General features: G+C 35.5%; 1 long non-coding RNA gene across 6 annotated transcripts in view, besides 1 other annotated feature; it reads left to right on the forward strand.

Moving 5' to 3' along the window:
• Positions 1 to 13,221, forward strand: part of LOC105379117 (uncharacterized) — a 122,892-nt gene that overhangs the window by 17,199 nt on the left and 92,472 nt on the right. Inside the window, exons 1-4 of one of the 6 annotated variants that reach the window (XR_948664.3) lie at positions 116 to 505; positions 600 to 753; positions 7,868 to 7,944; positions 8,047 to 8,161. This is a non-coding gene — a long non-coding RNA (uncharacterized LOC105379117). Of the gene's footprint in view, positions 1 to 115; positions 506 to 599; positions 754 to 854; positions 1,923 to 7,823; positions 8,162 to 13,221 lie in introns of those variants that run through there. The other 5 variants (XR_948662.3, XR_948661.2, XR_002956222.1 and 2 more) reach the window with 5 other exon arrangements.
• Positions 169 to 248: an enhancer, noted in NCBI's record as "active region_22882". NCBI's record gives its function as "activates an Ori minimal core promoter by ATAC-STARR-seq in GM12878 lymphoblastoid cells {active_cell/tissue: GM12878}" and the evidence as "EXISTENCE:reporter gene assay evidence [ECO:0000049][PMID:35858748]".

The raw sequence follows: 13,221 nt of genomic DNA on the forward strand, positions 1-13,221 counted from the left end.
TATCCTTTTGTAAAAGAAGAGAAAAAGTGTGTGTGTGTATGTGTGTGCACGTGCACTTTTACATGCATAAGATATCTTTGGAAGAAAACAGAAAAAACTAGTAACATTATTTACCCTTGAGAAAAAAACCAGGTGACCAAGAGGTAGGAATGGGAAGGAGAGTTTTCCCTCTGTGTCCCTTCATGTTTTTGAAATGCAGAACCTTCTAACTACATGGCCTATAAAAAAAAAAATAAGTAAAATAAACACAGTTAAGTGACACTGTGGTTCTTGGCAGGGAGCCAACGTTGTCATGGTCACTGGCTGCAGCTGTTACACTGGCGTGGTCACCTACAGTGACATCTACTGGTGCTTCCTAACAGCACTGTTAGGTCAGTATTTTTCAAACTTGATTTCAAAGTGGGCCATGGAACCAATGTAGTGGGTCCAACCAGCATTAAAAAAGAAAGAAAGAAAGAAAGAAAGAAAGAATAGAAAATATCAGAGTACATAACAAGTAGTAAAGGTAAATAAGGATAAATACTGTTGTATGAACTCCTGATTTTTAAAATATTCTTATGTGTTCTGATATGTCTTTCTTACTGTGTCAAAAATGTTAGGAAGTCACCATCTTCGGTGGGGACCTTTCTCAGACAATCTATTCTTCCACAATTCTCCTTGAGCAACCAAGATATTAACGGGGAAGACTTGAAGTTTCTATGCTGCTTGATCCAGAATTTTCTCACCATGGATGTGGGGTTCTCACCTTTGAAGGTTGGTCTCTGCTTATGTCTCCATTACCATTACATTGTCTCTGTTCATGCCAGCTCCAGGCTGTGTGTCTCCACACTCGAAGGCACATTCTTTCTCCTTAGGAGTATATCCCATTCCATGGCATACTGTGGAGTTAACAGGGCTGACTGGAGTTTGGATGTGGTGGCTAAGACCAGAGACCTGGAATCCTTCATGCATCCTGAGCTTCAGAGACCCCTGTAACCATGTTCCTTTTCAGATTGACCCCAATTCCTTGACTCATGCAGCTGCACCATCAGCAATGCCTTTCTCTCCATCCCTGCTTCCTTCTATCTAGCTTTTTTCAAGATCTTGCCCAGGGTTACATCTTCCATGGAACTTTCCCTGATTCCCTCAGCCAAAGTGACCTGTCATATAATCATCATGCTCTCTTGATTGCAATTGAAAGAAACACAACTCAAACTGGGTTTAAACAAAGAGAATTGGAGCTCAGCTAATTTAGAAGTTCACAAATAAGTTGGATCCACAGACTGAAAGATATCAGGAAGCATTACTTTGTTTTTCTCAGTGATCCTACCAAAAGATCCAAGATCTCACTAGCCTAACCTGGGTCATTTGCCCAACACTGAATCAATCATTATAGCCCCTGAGGTTAGAATCCACTGATTGGCCAGTCTCAGATTACATGCTCTCCCCAAGAGAGCATCTAGTCATAGAGAGAAGCTATGTGGAGTGTGAAAAAGGGGTGGTTCCTTGAATGTATTCGTCTAAAGTGCTGTCAACTGAAGAGGGAGAATGAATACTGGGCAAGCAAAAACAACATGTGTTCTTGTCAACTTGTAATCTGTACAGTGAAAACACCAACTTCTAAATATATTTTCTTGTGTTAATACTTTACCTATGTGCTATGGTTTGTATGTTTGCACCCAACAAATCTCATGTTGAAATCTAATCCACAATGTGGTGGTGTTGGGATGCAAAGCCTAGTGGGAGATGTTTGGGTCATGGAGGCAGATCCTGCATGAGCAGGTTAGTGCCCTTCCTTGGGGGTGAGTGAGTTCTCACTCTATTAGTTCCCTGGAGAGCTGATTGGTAAAAGAGTCTAGCACCTCCCTGCTCTCATACTTCCTCTCCAGCCATGTGATCTCTGCACAGCTGGCTCCCCTTTCCCTTCTGCCATGAGTGGAAGCAGCCTGAAGCCCTCACCAGAAGCAGATGCCAGTGCCATGCTTCTTGTACAGTCTGCAGAACTGTGAGCCAAATAAACCTCTTTCCTTTGTAAATTACCCACCCTTGGGCATTCTTTTATAGTAACAAAAAATGGACTTAGGTGCTATGTGAGCATGAATCATTTACAATAAAATTGTCAGACAAGTAAGATTAACATTTCACTTCTCAAGTTATATTATTCAATTGTTCTACATTTTCCAGGCTTTGTCATTATTTGTTTTCTCTCAATTCTACTTAGATTTCCACTGACCAATTCTCATGGAGAATTGAGTAATTAATCAGTTTATAAAATCTATAACAACTATAAAAATATTGAATTCATTGTGTTTTTGCCCATTGATTTTTGTCAAATATTTTAATCACAATAAACATTTTAAATTTATGAAAGGAAGACCAAAGTACATTTGGAGGAGGAAATCTCTCATTTCTGTTTTTGAGCATTCTTTCTCAGGAAACAGAACATATTTTTAAAGAGAAACATCTCAACACATCTGGTGTGATCTTCTAGTTATCTAGTTTAAGCCAAAAAAGGTGGCATCATCTGTTTTTCTTTCATACATTTTGAAACATGAGTTTCTGAAAGCTATTTCCTAACATATGTCAATTTAACATCTGCTGGTTTCTAACTGATAATGAGGAACAGTGCGCTGGCTGCCCCTCCAATAGTGCCAAGGTATTTCCCATTAGAATTGTTTTCACTTTGGAATTGTCAGTAATATTTTTACTCTAGGATAGCCTATTTTCCTAACTTGAAGGAGATACATGAATGGAAGCACAGAGAAGGAAGAATAAACAGATTGATATATTTACAGTTATGTGGCAGCACAGCAGAGAAAGATTTCAAAAAGAAATATTAGATAAGAAAGTCAATGTCATAGGTCACAGATTAAACTCCTTCTCCTGCAAAGCATGCTTCCCTATACTACATCTTAATTCACCCTTGTTATTCAATACCAAGAGTATTTGAAAACAGAATTAAAATGTATTAACCATATCTAAAAGTACCCAACCATGTCCAAAGCTTCTCTAACATTTCTTCTCCTTTTTAATCCTTTGGTGCAATTTAAAGTGCATCAGTGAACTTCAATTTCTGCCTGGAAATTCATAACAGAAAGATATTTTGACATTTATTTTTGAAAGAGGGAGCCTAAGTGTTTGTCCTGGGAGAGATCAGTATTTTTGCTTGCCCTAAAGTAATCTAGTGCTTAATAAACATTTAGTAATTTTCAGACCTAGTAATTTGGAGCCTGCAAATTATTGGTGTCATTTGTGTCTTTTAATACATTCTCCCTATCTCAATAACATTATTGCATTTTATTTCACTGGGCTTTAAAGTAGAGAGATCATTGTGGGCTTGTCAAGATCAAAGCTAGCTTCATATTGTTATTGCTATATTCTCAATGTCAAGCCAAGTGCTTCATATGCAATCAGTATAGAATGAATGAATCAATTTTGTCCCAAGATTCTGAGATACAAAATTTACTTTTAGAGTCCTAAAAGTGGGGTATCTTGAATAGTCTTACATAAATTTTAAAAACCATCAAATTGACTTTGGTAAAGAAAGAAGAAATAAGTTCTAGGACTTACTTGGACTTCCATAAGGAAACTTTGATGGCAGGTCTCTCTAAATAAATTTGGGAGCTGACATACTACAAACCAAACACCATTTATGGTGATGGCTACTCAATAACTTTTCAGTGAAGATAGTGGTTCTGAATATACTTGTAAGGCTTGTGGAAAGAGAAGGAACTTTGGGCCGGACATAATGGCTCACGCCTGTAATTTCAGCACTTTGGGAGGCTGACGCGGATGGATCACCAGGTCAGGAGATGGAGACCATCCTGGCTAACACAGTGAAACCCCATCTCTACTAAAAATACAAAAAATTAGCTGGGCATGGTGGCGGGCACCTGTAGTCCCAGCTACTGGAGAGATTGAGGCAGGAGAATGGCATGAACCCGGGAGGTGGAGCTTGCAGTGAGCCGAGATAGTGCCACTGCACTCCAACCTGGGTGACAGAGTGAGACTCCATCTAAAAAAAAAAAAAAAGAAGGAGCTTTGGAGACTGATAGTCTGGAGTTGAAATCCTGGCTCTACTCCTTATAAAATTATTTAACCTCTACTTTTTTACCTGCAAGATAGGCATAATGATACTATGATGCAGGGTTGTTGTAATAAATTCAGTACAATAATAATGTACACAAAAGCTTAGCAAAGTATCTGGTACTTGAGGTCACCTACTAAGTAGCAGTTATGATGATCCTTATGATAACCATTCCTGATATTAGCTGCTCTGATAATATTCAGAGAACAGACTCAACTGCACGTAACCCAAACCCTTTAAAGCCTTATAAGTTAAAGCTAAACTCACCCTATGTTGTGTTAGTCAATATAGCAGAATGGTAACTAAAGACCCTACAGGTAAATGTGTATATTTGCATACATTCATAATTTTTTTCTTTCTTTTCTTCTTTTTTTTTTCTTTTCCTTTCTTTCCTGTTCTCTCCCTCCCTCTCTCCCTCCTTCTTTTCTTTTCTTCTTTCTTTTTGTTTCATTTTTGACAATATCTCACTCTGTCGCCCAGGCTGGAGGGCAGTGGCACAATCTGGCTCACTGCAGCCCTGACCTCCCAGGTTCAAGCAATCCTCCCACCTCAGCTTCTGGAGTAGCTGGGACTACAGGTGCACACTGGCAAGCTCGGCTAATTTTTTGTATTTTTTGTAGAGATGGGGTTTTGCCATGTTGCCCATGGCTGGTCTCAAACTCTGGGGCTCAAGCGATCCACCTGCCTCGGCCTCCCAGAGTGCTGGTATTACAGGCCTAAGGCACCATGCCTGGCCCTGCATGTCACTTTTTAAAGGAACTGTAAATCACATAGACTGAGCAGAAGAGTCTCAAGTTAATCCTTGGTGTGATACAGCAGTAGATTTCTAAAGGAGTCCTCCCCTCTCTCTCCTTGCTTCCCTCACATTCTATTGTGAAGTGTGCCAGGCACTGTATATACAAGGAATATTTACAGCTGATGAGATAGCAGATGAAGAGCATTCCAATATATTTTCTTTATTGACCTATTGGGCAAAAGGTGAAAGCCATTCCATGAAAAGTTAAGTACTGTAAAAATACATTAACTTTTGGTTCACGGGAGAGATGCTATGAGTTATGTCCCCAAAGCTTTTCGACACATGAAAAGAATTAAATAACTCAAATTTCAACTTTAGAGACTGTTTACTGGAGCCCTTTGAAAAAATAGTTGCCATCATCCTCCTTAACAAAGTGGATGGAGTGCAAAATGCAAAACTTCCATACTGAATAGGTTGATACAAGTCATTTATTGGAAACTATTTGGCAGTATGAGCTATGAGCAAGCATGAAAGTTGTAGTTCTACCTAACTATTTTCATGTTATTATGCAATAGCTTTTCTCTAAACATTTATTAAAGTAACAAATTACTTGGGTGTTTTGCCTATCTTTGGATAAAAAAGGGCTACTATTTTCATATGGCTACATTTAAATGATAGGCACACATAGGCATAATCCTGGCCAACACCATCTAATAGATACATCACTTGATTACAGCAATATATATGTATTTCCCTGAAATACAAGAATTGTCTCTTGAGATCATTTTTGGGATCATACATTCTCATAAGAATAACATCTGCAGGGCATTGATTGAATGTACAAAATCTGGAAGCCTCCTTAAACCCGTTAGAAACAAAGGGAAAATTAAGGTAGTATTGAATGTTGCTATTTCATGCACATTAAGCTGATTTACTTCCCGGGAAGAATTGGAGACCAATGTTGATCTTGCACATTATTTGCACAATTCATATCCTATTGAAGATAATTATAATATACTATGCAGTCAAATTATTTAATAATGGATTTAATATTCTCTTACTTTAAAAGCTTTAACTCTCTGCCATGTATATTCTCAAATAAACTTGCAGCTCACTCTAGATTTAATTGAATTTCAGGTTTTTATAGAGGCAGACATGATACCATGGCTAATAAAGTAAACAAGACTAAACCCAAACTATAATTTTTGCTGGTCTCCAGCAAAACTCTTTATACACCTAGGTTTTCCCACACTATTTCAATCAAATGTTCTATCTTCTCCCGCTTTACTGTCTTTTTTTAAAAAAGCATTATCTTCTTGTTACTTCAGATTTGAAATATTAAATTTATTTTTTTCTTTGCCCTTCTTACCTTTCCAGTTATCTATTGCTAAGAAACAAACCACTCCAAAACCTGTTAGCTTAAAAGAACTATCATTTATTAATTTTTTATTAATTGCTTACAAATCTGCAATTTGGGTTGGGTCAATAGGGATAGCCTTTCCCTTCTCCACATGGTGTGTGGAGAAGCTGGTGTGGCTCAAGATGGGTCAATCACATGTAGCAATATAGTGCTGGCTGTAGGCTGGGAGCTTAGCTGGCTTGTCATTTGGGGACCTCTGTTCCTCTCCATGTGGACCCCTCCACAGAGTTTTTTGGGCTTCTTCAAAGAATGGAGGCTGAGTAACAAGGAAATGTGTTTCAAGACGTCCAGCAGGAAGCTGCAAAACTTCGACTCAGCTTCAATTCTCAGAATGCCACCTTTGCCATATTGATCAAGCAAGTCACTTAGCTGAGATTCAAGACAGGAAGAAGGAGTCTCTTAAAGGAAAGAGTAACAAAGAATTTGAAGACATTTCTAATTTACCATGTTCTGTCTTTATCCAAGTCCTAAGTCCACCATCACAACATCTCTCAAATCCGTTCTTCATGCTTTCATCCACCCAAATTTTCTTGTACAGACCGAAGAAAACTTCATCAGCAGTGCCAGTGAATCAGGGAAGGAGATGTTTAAGACCCTTCTAGGAATGTACTGGACTGACTCAAAAAGACACAAAGGTAGCTTCGAATCAGCTGAGACCCTGGGAGAGGTTGAAAGGAAAAGATGCTTTCATGGGAGGTTCCACCATTGCCGTTGTCATCTTTTTTGTTATAATCATCCATAAAATCATTCACTAAATTCTCCGTTTTACTCTGCGGAGTTATTTTCTTTTTCTTTTTCTTTTTTTGTTTTGAGACAGAGTCTCTTTCTGTTGCCCTGGCTGGAGTGCAGTGGCAAAATCTCGTCTCACTGCAACCTCCGCCTCCCGGGTTCAAGCGATTCTCATGCCTCAGCCTCCCAGGTAGCTAAGATTACAGGTTTGCTCTACCATGCCCAGCTAATTTTTGTATTTTTAGTAGAGACGGGGTTTCGCCATGTTGGCCAGGTTGGTCTCAAACTCCTGGCCTCAAGTGATCCATCTCCCTCGGCCTCCCAAAGTGCTGGGATTATAGGCGTGAGCCACCGCACCCAGCCTGTGGAGCTATTTTAAATGACTGTATGTGGACATTTATAAAGGAAAAAAAAAAAAAAAAAAGAAGAAACAACTGGGAATACCTTGGGATTCTTTTTAAAAAGCTCTGGGCCAAAAAAACACCAATTACCCTACCCCTTGAAATTCTAAAAGAAAAGAGAAAATTAAGCTGATTGAATTTATTAAATTTATTATGGTCAACGTATTATAGCAGAATTTTATTTCTTTTCTGTGCTATAAGTATATTTGTCCATTGTATAATCAATGTAGATGTAAGCCTCTTGACAACTGTATAAGATGTGGATTATGAATTTTACGTTTAAAATTATTATGGCTGTATCTCATTGTCGAATCTTTGTTTTTATGGCAAGTTTGCTGGAAATAGCTACAGTTTACTTGTTTTTATAACAAATACTTAGCTCTGTGACCCTCAGTTGTAACACTGGTCCTGGCAGGTGGCAGTGGGGAGTGGTCTGTGTTACCACTGATCCCTATATGTTATAATTTCCAGGAATGCATTGTGGACACAAACAAGAACTGTCTGTACTCTTGCAGGAAATGGAAACGGTACAAACCAGCATTTGAGTGAATGAACACTGAAAATGCATGCTGCAACCAACCACTGGATCAGGGTACAAGACAAATAATGGTTCTAGTGGAACTTGGGGGAAAAGCACTTTTACATGGAATTTAATATATTGTTCCCTGACTTATCTTTGTTTATGATTCTATAGTTGGATAATTGTTTTCCTCAATCCTATGACAAAAAGAGTTGGAGGCGTCAGGAAGAGCAAGAACAATTTGGCTCTCAGTGAATTTTTAATAAACAATGTGTTGCATCAAGAACAATTAAATGCTTTTAAATGTAAGATAATTTTACTTAGACAAATGGTTTTTGAGAAGTACTTTCAAGACAGAATTGAGTAGATAATTTCTTAGACTAATTACCTTATATCTAGCCATTCCAGTAAAACATGACTGGAGCACATATTATTTTACTTAATTTTTTTTCCATTTGGTTCAATTTTCAAATCTGAATACTTTTAAACATTGACTTCTATTTAAAATGTTCTGTTCACAATGCAGTGCTAAGTGAAAACATTAAACTGTGTTTTCCAAATTTTCTACGATAATCAGAAAAAGATTGTATATAAATAATTCCACAGGCAACTCTTTAGAGTATGTCTAAATGGCAAATTTGACTCGTCATTAATGGTAACTTAACATATCATGTACACCAGAAACCAGGAAAGGATCTATCTCATGTTCTCCTAAACCTCAGCCACAGTTGAACAACTGAAATCAATATACTTCTCAAGCAAGTGAATAATTCCTCAAAGCAATTTTTAAAAGGAAAAGAAAATTTTCTTTCATACAAGCATCTTTTCCCTCAGTGATTCTTACATTTGCCTCTTTTTCTCACAAATTTCTAAGATAGGAGATAGAGTTAGCCTTTATGTTTTAAAATTTTCCCTTGATTTACTAAAACACATATAAATTTCATGGTTTTTGAGGAACAATGACACAGAGGATAGTTGACTTAGGGTGAGGTTAGTATGAAGGAATAAAAATGTCAGTTTTTTTTTCCTCATAAATAAAAGTGAATTCCTAAAACTTTCTCCCATGACTTCAGGTAACTGGAGTAACATTTTTGGGAAGCTAAAGGCAAAATATCTCTATTTCATTATTTGGTGAAGACTGATAACCATTTGAGAAAAGTAGTTCTTATTGCTTGATTCAAGTTCCTGGAGAGCTATGGCTAAGATTTTTTTCTATTATACTTAGTATATAATGTAGTATAATTATTTGCATATTGGAGCCCTAAATTTGTTATATAAAAATAGCAGGTAGTGTGTATGAAAGAGAAAGAACTATGATACAAAAAAATCTGGCCAGCAGAGCTGCAGCTTTGCTGTGCAAAGGGTAGAATTATAATTTATTTTTTGTGACTGGCCCAGGGTAGCTGCAAAATAAGTGGCTCTGATAACCAAACAGATAATAGTAACTATACTTTTAAAAAACTTGCAATGATTTAATAGGACATTGGACACACGATTTTAATAGTCTGCATGCCTCCAGAGGTATCACTGTTTCTCAAATGGAAAAGCCAAAATGAAAATTCTAGTCCCTGTGAGAAGGTGTTAGAAGAAATCATTTTTAAAAACCCAAAAGGACTCACTTTATTATTTTTGACAAGAATTTCTCCCTAAATATAAAGATAAGATAGCATTGTAAAAGTGACTGTAAAAGAAAAAAACCCACTGTAAGGCTATTAGGGACAGCTGGCTGAACTGCTATGTCAGAATACATTTTTATTTCTTTAAAAATAAAACTTGAATATTGGAGTAAAATCTTATTTAAGATTTTTAAATATATAAAAATGCATACTTGTTATGCAACTTTATCAGATCTCAACATATTGCACATTTTGCCTATTTATTTCACAATTTATTTTGTAAAATAAATGAAACAAAGTTTTTTATGTTTTCTTTCCCTGGAAATAACAACTACCATTAATTTGATACTTAAGTTTCCAATAATTTCTTTATAGTCCACTGTTTGTCTTTTTTTTCCTTATTTGTGGTATCTTTTGATACACAGGAGTTTTAACATGGAAAAATTTATCACTTTTTATTTTGTGCTTTTGGTGTCTTATTTAATAAATTCTTCCTTATCCTGAGACAAAACAATAAATTTCTACATTTTCTTCTTACAGTTTTAAAGCTATGGTTTAAAATATCCAAGTTCTTGGTTGTCTTGGAATTTATTTTTGGTTTATGTATAGTAAATAATTTTATTTATATTTAATTTTTTTCCCATATGAATAACCAATTATATTTTTTCTCTGATTTTTGGGATGCCACCATAGATTTTTTTCTTTGGATTTATATACTGTTTCATTGGTCAAGTAAGACAAGTTACTCCCATTTTTTTCTTCAAGTTGAACAGACTATGTAGAGTCTTGTGTTATTATGTATGAATTGAGTATCAATTTGTTAATTTATACAATTGTATTAGACACCATTTCAGTCAGTTTCTTTCTGATAATTTGGAGAGACTGTTTAATCTTTCCATCCATGAACATTGTATATCCCTTTATTTTTTTAGGACTTTCAAAATGCTCTTTAATAATGCTTGATAATTTTCTGTATAAAGGAGCATTGCAATATTTTGTTAGAATTATTCCACATTTTGGCTACATTTTGTAGCTATTATGAATGGGGTCATCTTGTATATTATTTTTCAATTGGTTATTGTGAGTATATATAGTAATATTAATTTTTATATACTCATCTTAAGAAGAAAGATTAAGGCCACTTGCAATTGCCTACTAGCACACATTTTTAATAAAAATTTGACATTCTTTTTAATTCAGCTAAAGTCATGGTTGTCTAGAGATGACTTAATCATTAACTACATAGAAGTGCTGAGTAAAAAGTTCAGATCTTTTACTTTACATTATATTGGACCTAGTTTGGCAAAGACTTAATGACACCATCTAGTGGCAGTTTGAAGTTCTAAATAAATAGTAAAATGCATTTCCAGATTTTATTGGATAACTATTTGTGTTAAAAAAATTATGATAACAATCAATATCCTTGTTGAAAATGCCAAGAAACAGCAAGAATTAATTTGTCATATCAAAATTAATTATGCTTGTAGTCTTTAATTTTGCTGATTTCAAGATTAGAATGAAGTTATGCTTATGGAGAAACTTATCTACAATCTTTTATTTTGAAGCCAAATCATGTATGTGAAGATTTAATTTTTAAGATTGTTATTCAGGGAGTTGTCATAGTTCATGTTCACACCATGTTTTTGAAAAAATAAAATTACCAACAGCTGGCCGGAGTCAATCTACGTAATCTTTATAATAAAATGATCCTAAGAGTCTATACCATGAGGACTACTTTATATTTAAGGATCCTTTAACATAAGGCCTATTTTTATATCTTACTAATTAGAATTCTTTTTTGTGTGGGAAATAACAAAATCTTATGCATAATTCAACTCAATTTCAAAACAAATAGGGACAACTTGCTAATCACTTGAAAAAAGTATAAAGTTTAAAATACACTCAAGATGAATTAAAAATGTAAATCTATACAACCAGGCTTTAAAAGTTTAGAGTGAAATATATATGAAAGCTTATTTAATTTTTTGGTGGGGAAGACTTTTCTGATGATAGATGGAACCTCTAAGTGTAAAGGTTGATTAAAATTTCTATAGAACATTTAAATACTAAATTAAAGTGACAGTGTAATATCTCTGGTAAAAGTTTTTTAAATGACACTACCCTATGTTAACATAAGTTAAGGGTGAATACATAAAAAACAGGCATTCTTATTTTGCTACTTGGGAATACATTTGGAATAAACTTTATCAAGGGACATTTGGCAATGCTATTGAAAGTCTTAAAATATGCATAGTCTTTGCCCCAGAAATCCACTACTCAGAATGATTATAGGGATACAACAAAGAAATAGTCACAAGATTGTTCTTCATAGCACTTCATAGAACTATTGGTAAAATATTACACATTAGGAAAATGTAAATGTCCACCAAGAGGTGAATTGGGAAACTAAGAGTGTAGTTATTAACCATACATTGTTATTAACAGTTATTATGTTGTTATTAACCCTAATGTTACAGAAAAATTGTGGAAGACATTTAAAATACTTTTTACATATTTAATTATGTAATTACTCAATTAAGTGGAAAGATATTCTCAGAATAGTGTTAGATGAAAAGCAGAGTTTCAAATCAGTATATTTTCATTTTTTACAATATTTGTTTCCTTCCTTATGCAAAATACAGAATGACGACACTCAACAGGGGTTCTATCCTGAACATGATATAGGCTGAATGTTGTTTCCTCCCCAGATTCATATGTTGAAGCCTGAACCACCAATATAACAGGGTCTTTGGGAGGTAATTAAGGTTAAAACAGGTCATATGGGTGGGACCTTCAGGATGGAAATAATGCTTCTAAGAATGCTTCAGAGAGCTTCTGGGTACACACTCACCCCACCCTCTCCCTACTCTGCCCCGTGTAAGAACACAGCAAGAAGGTGGCCACCCATAAGCCAGGAGGAAAGCCCTCATCAAGCAAATTGACTGGTGCCTTGATCTGGGACTACTAGCCTCTAGAACTGAAGAAAGTAAATGTCTGCCGCTCAAGCCACTTGGTCTACGTTATTTTGCTATGGCCTCCTGAGCAGACTAATATACATGAGGTAATGAGTAATTTCTTTTTTTGCTTATCTAGGTTTCTAAATTTTTTGTCATAAACATACTGCATTTGTAATTTTAAAAGATATTTTAAAATCAAATAATATTAGAGAAACTCTCCAGCATATACAGATGTTTCAGTGAAAAACTCATCATTAGTTAAATCAGTTATTTGAAGCTGGTTTGTGATTACCTTGACATATTTTTATTAATTCTCTCCATACACTAATTATTTGGCTTATAATTAAATTTACAAAGCAGATTGACTCCTTAGCTATGAATATCAAAGATTGATAAGGTTTCTAAATACACTACTGAAGAATAGGTTTATTTTCCTCCCATCTAACTATTTTGCAGTTATTATTTGGAAACACTGACCATTTTAATCATTATTTTTTAAATTAGAGTGAGTAATTAGCATTCTGCCTTAGGTTTGGATGACTAATAATGGTGAAATTATATATGATTTTCTTGCATTCCAAGACCTTTTATAATTAATTATCTTATCCATGCATCCTATTTCCCTCTTATGCCATCAAATTTCTGAGAAACATGCCGGGTGTGGTGGCTCACACCTGTAATCCCAACACTTTGGGAGGCCGAGGCGGGCAGGTCACTTGAGGTCAGGAGTTCGAGACCAGCCTGGCCATCATGGTGAAACCCTGTCCCTATCAAAA

This window comes from Homo sapiens, chromosome 5 (assembly GCF_000001405.40).
Source record: "Homo sapiens chromosome 5, GRCh38.p14 Primary Assembly".
Lineage (NCBI taxonomy): Eukaryota > Metazoa > Chordata > Mammalia > Primates > Hominidae > Homo > Homo sapiens.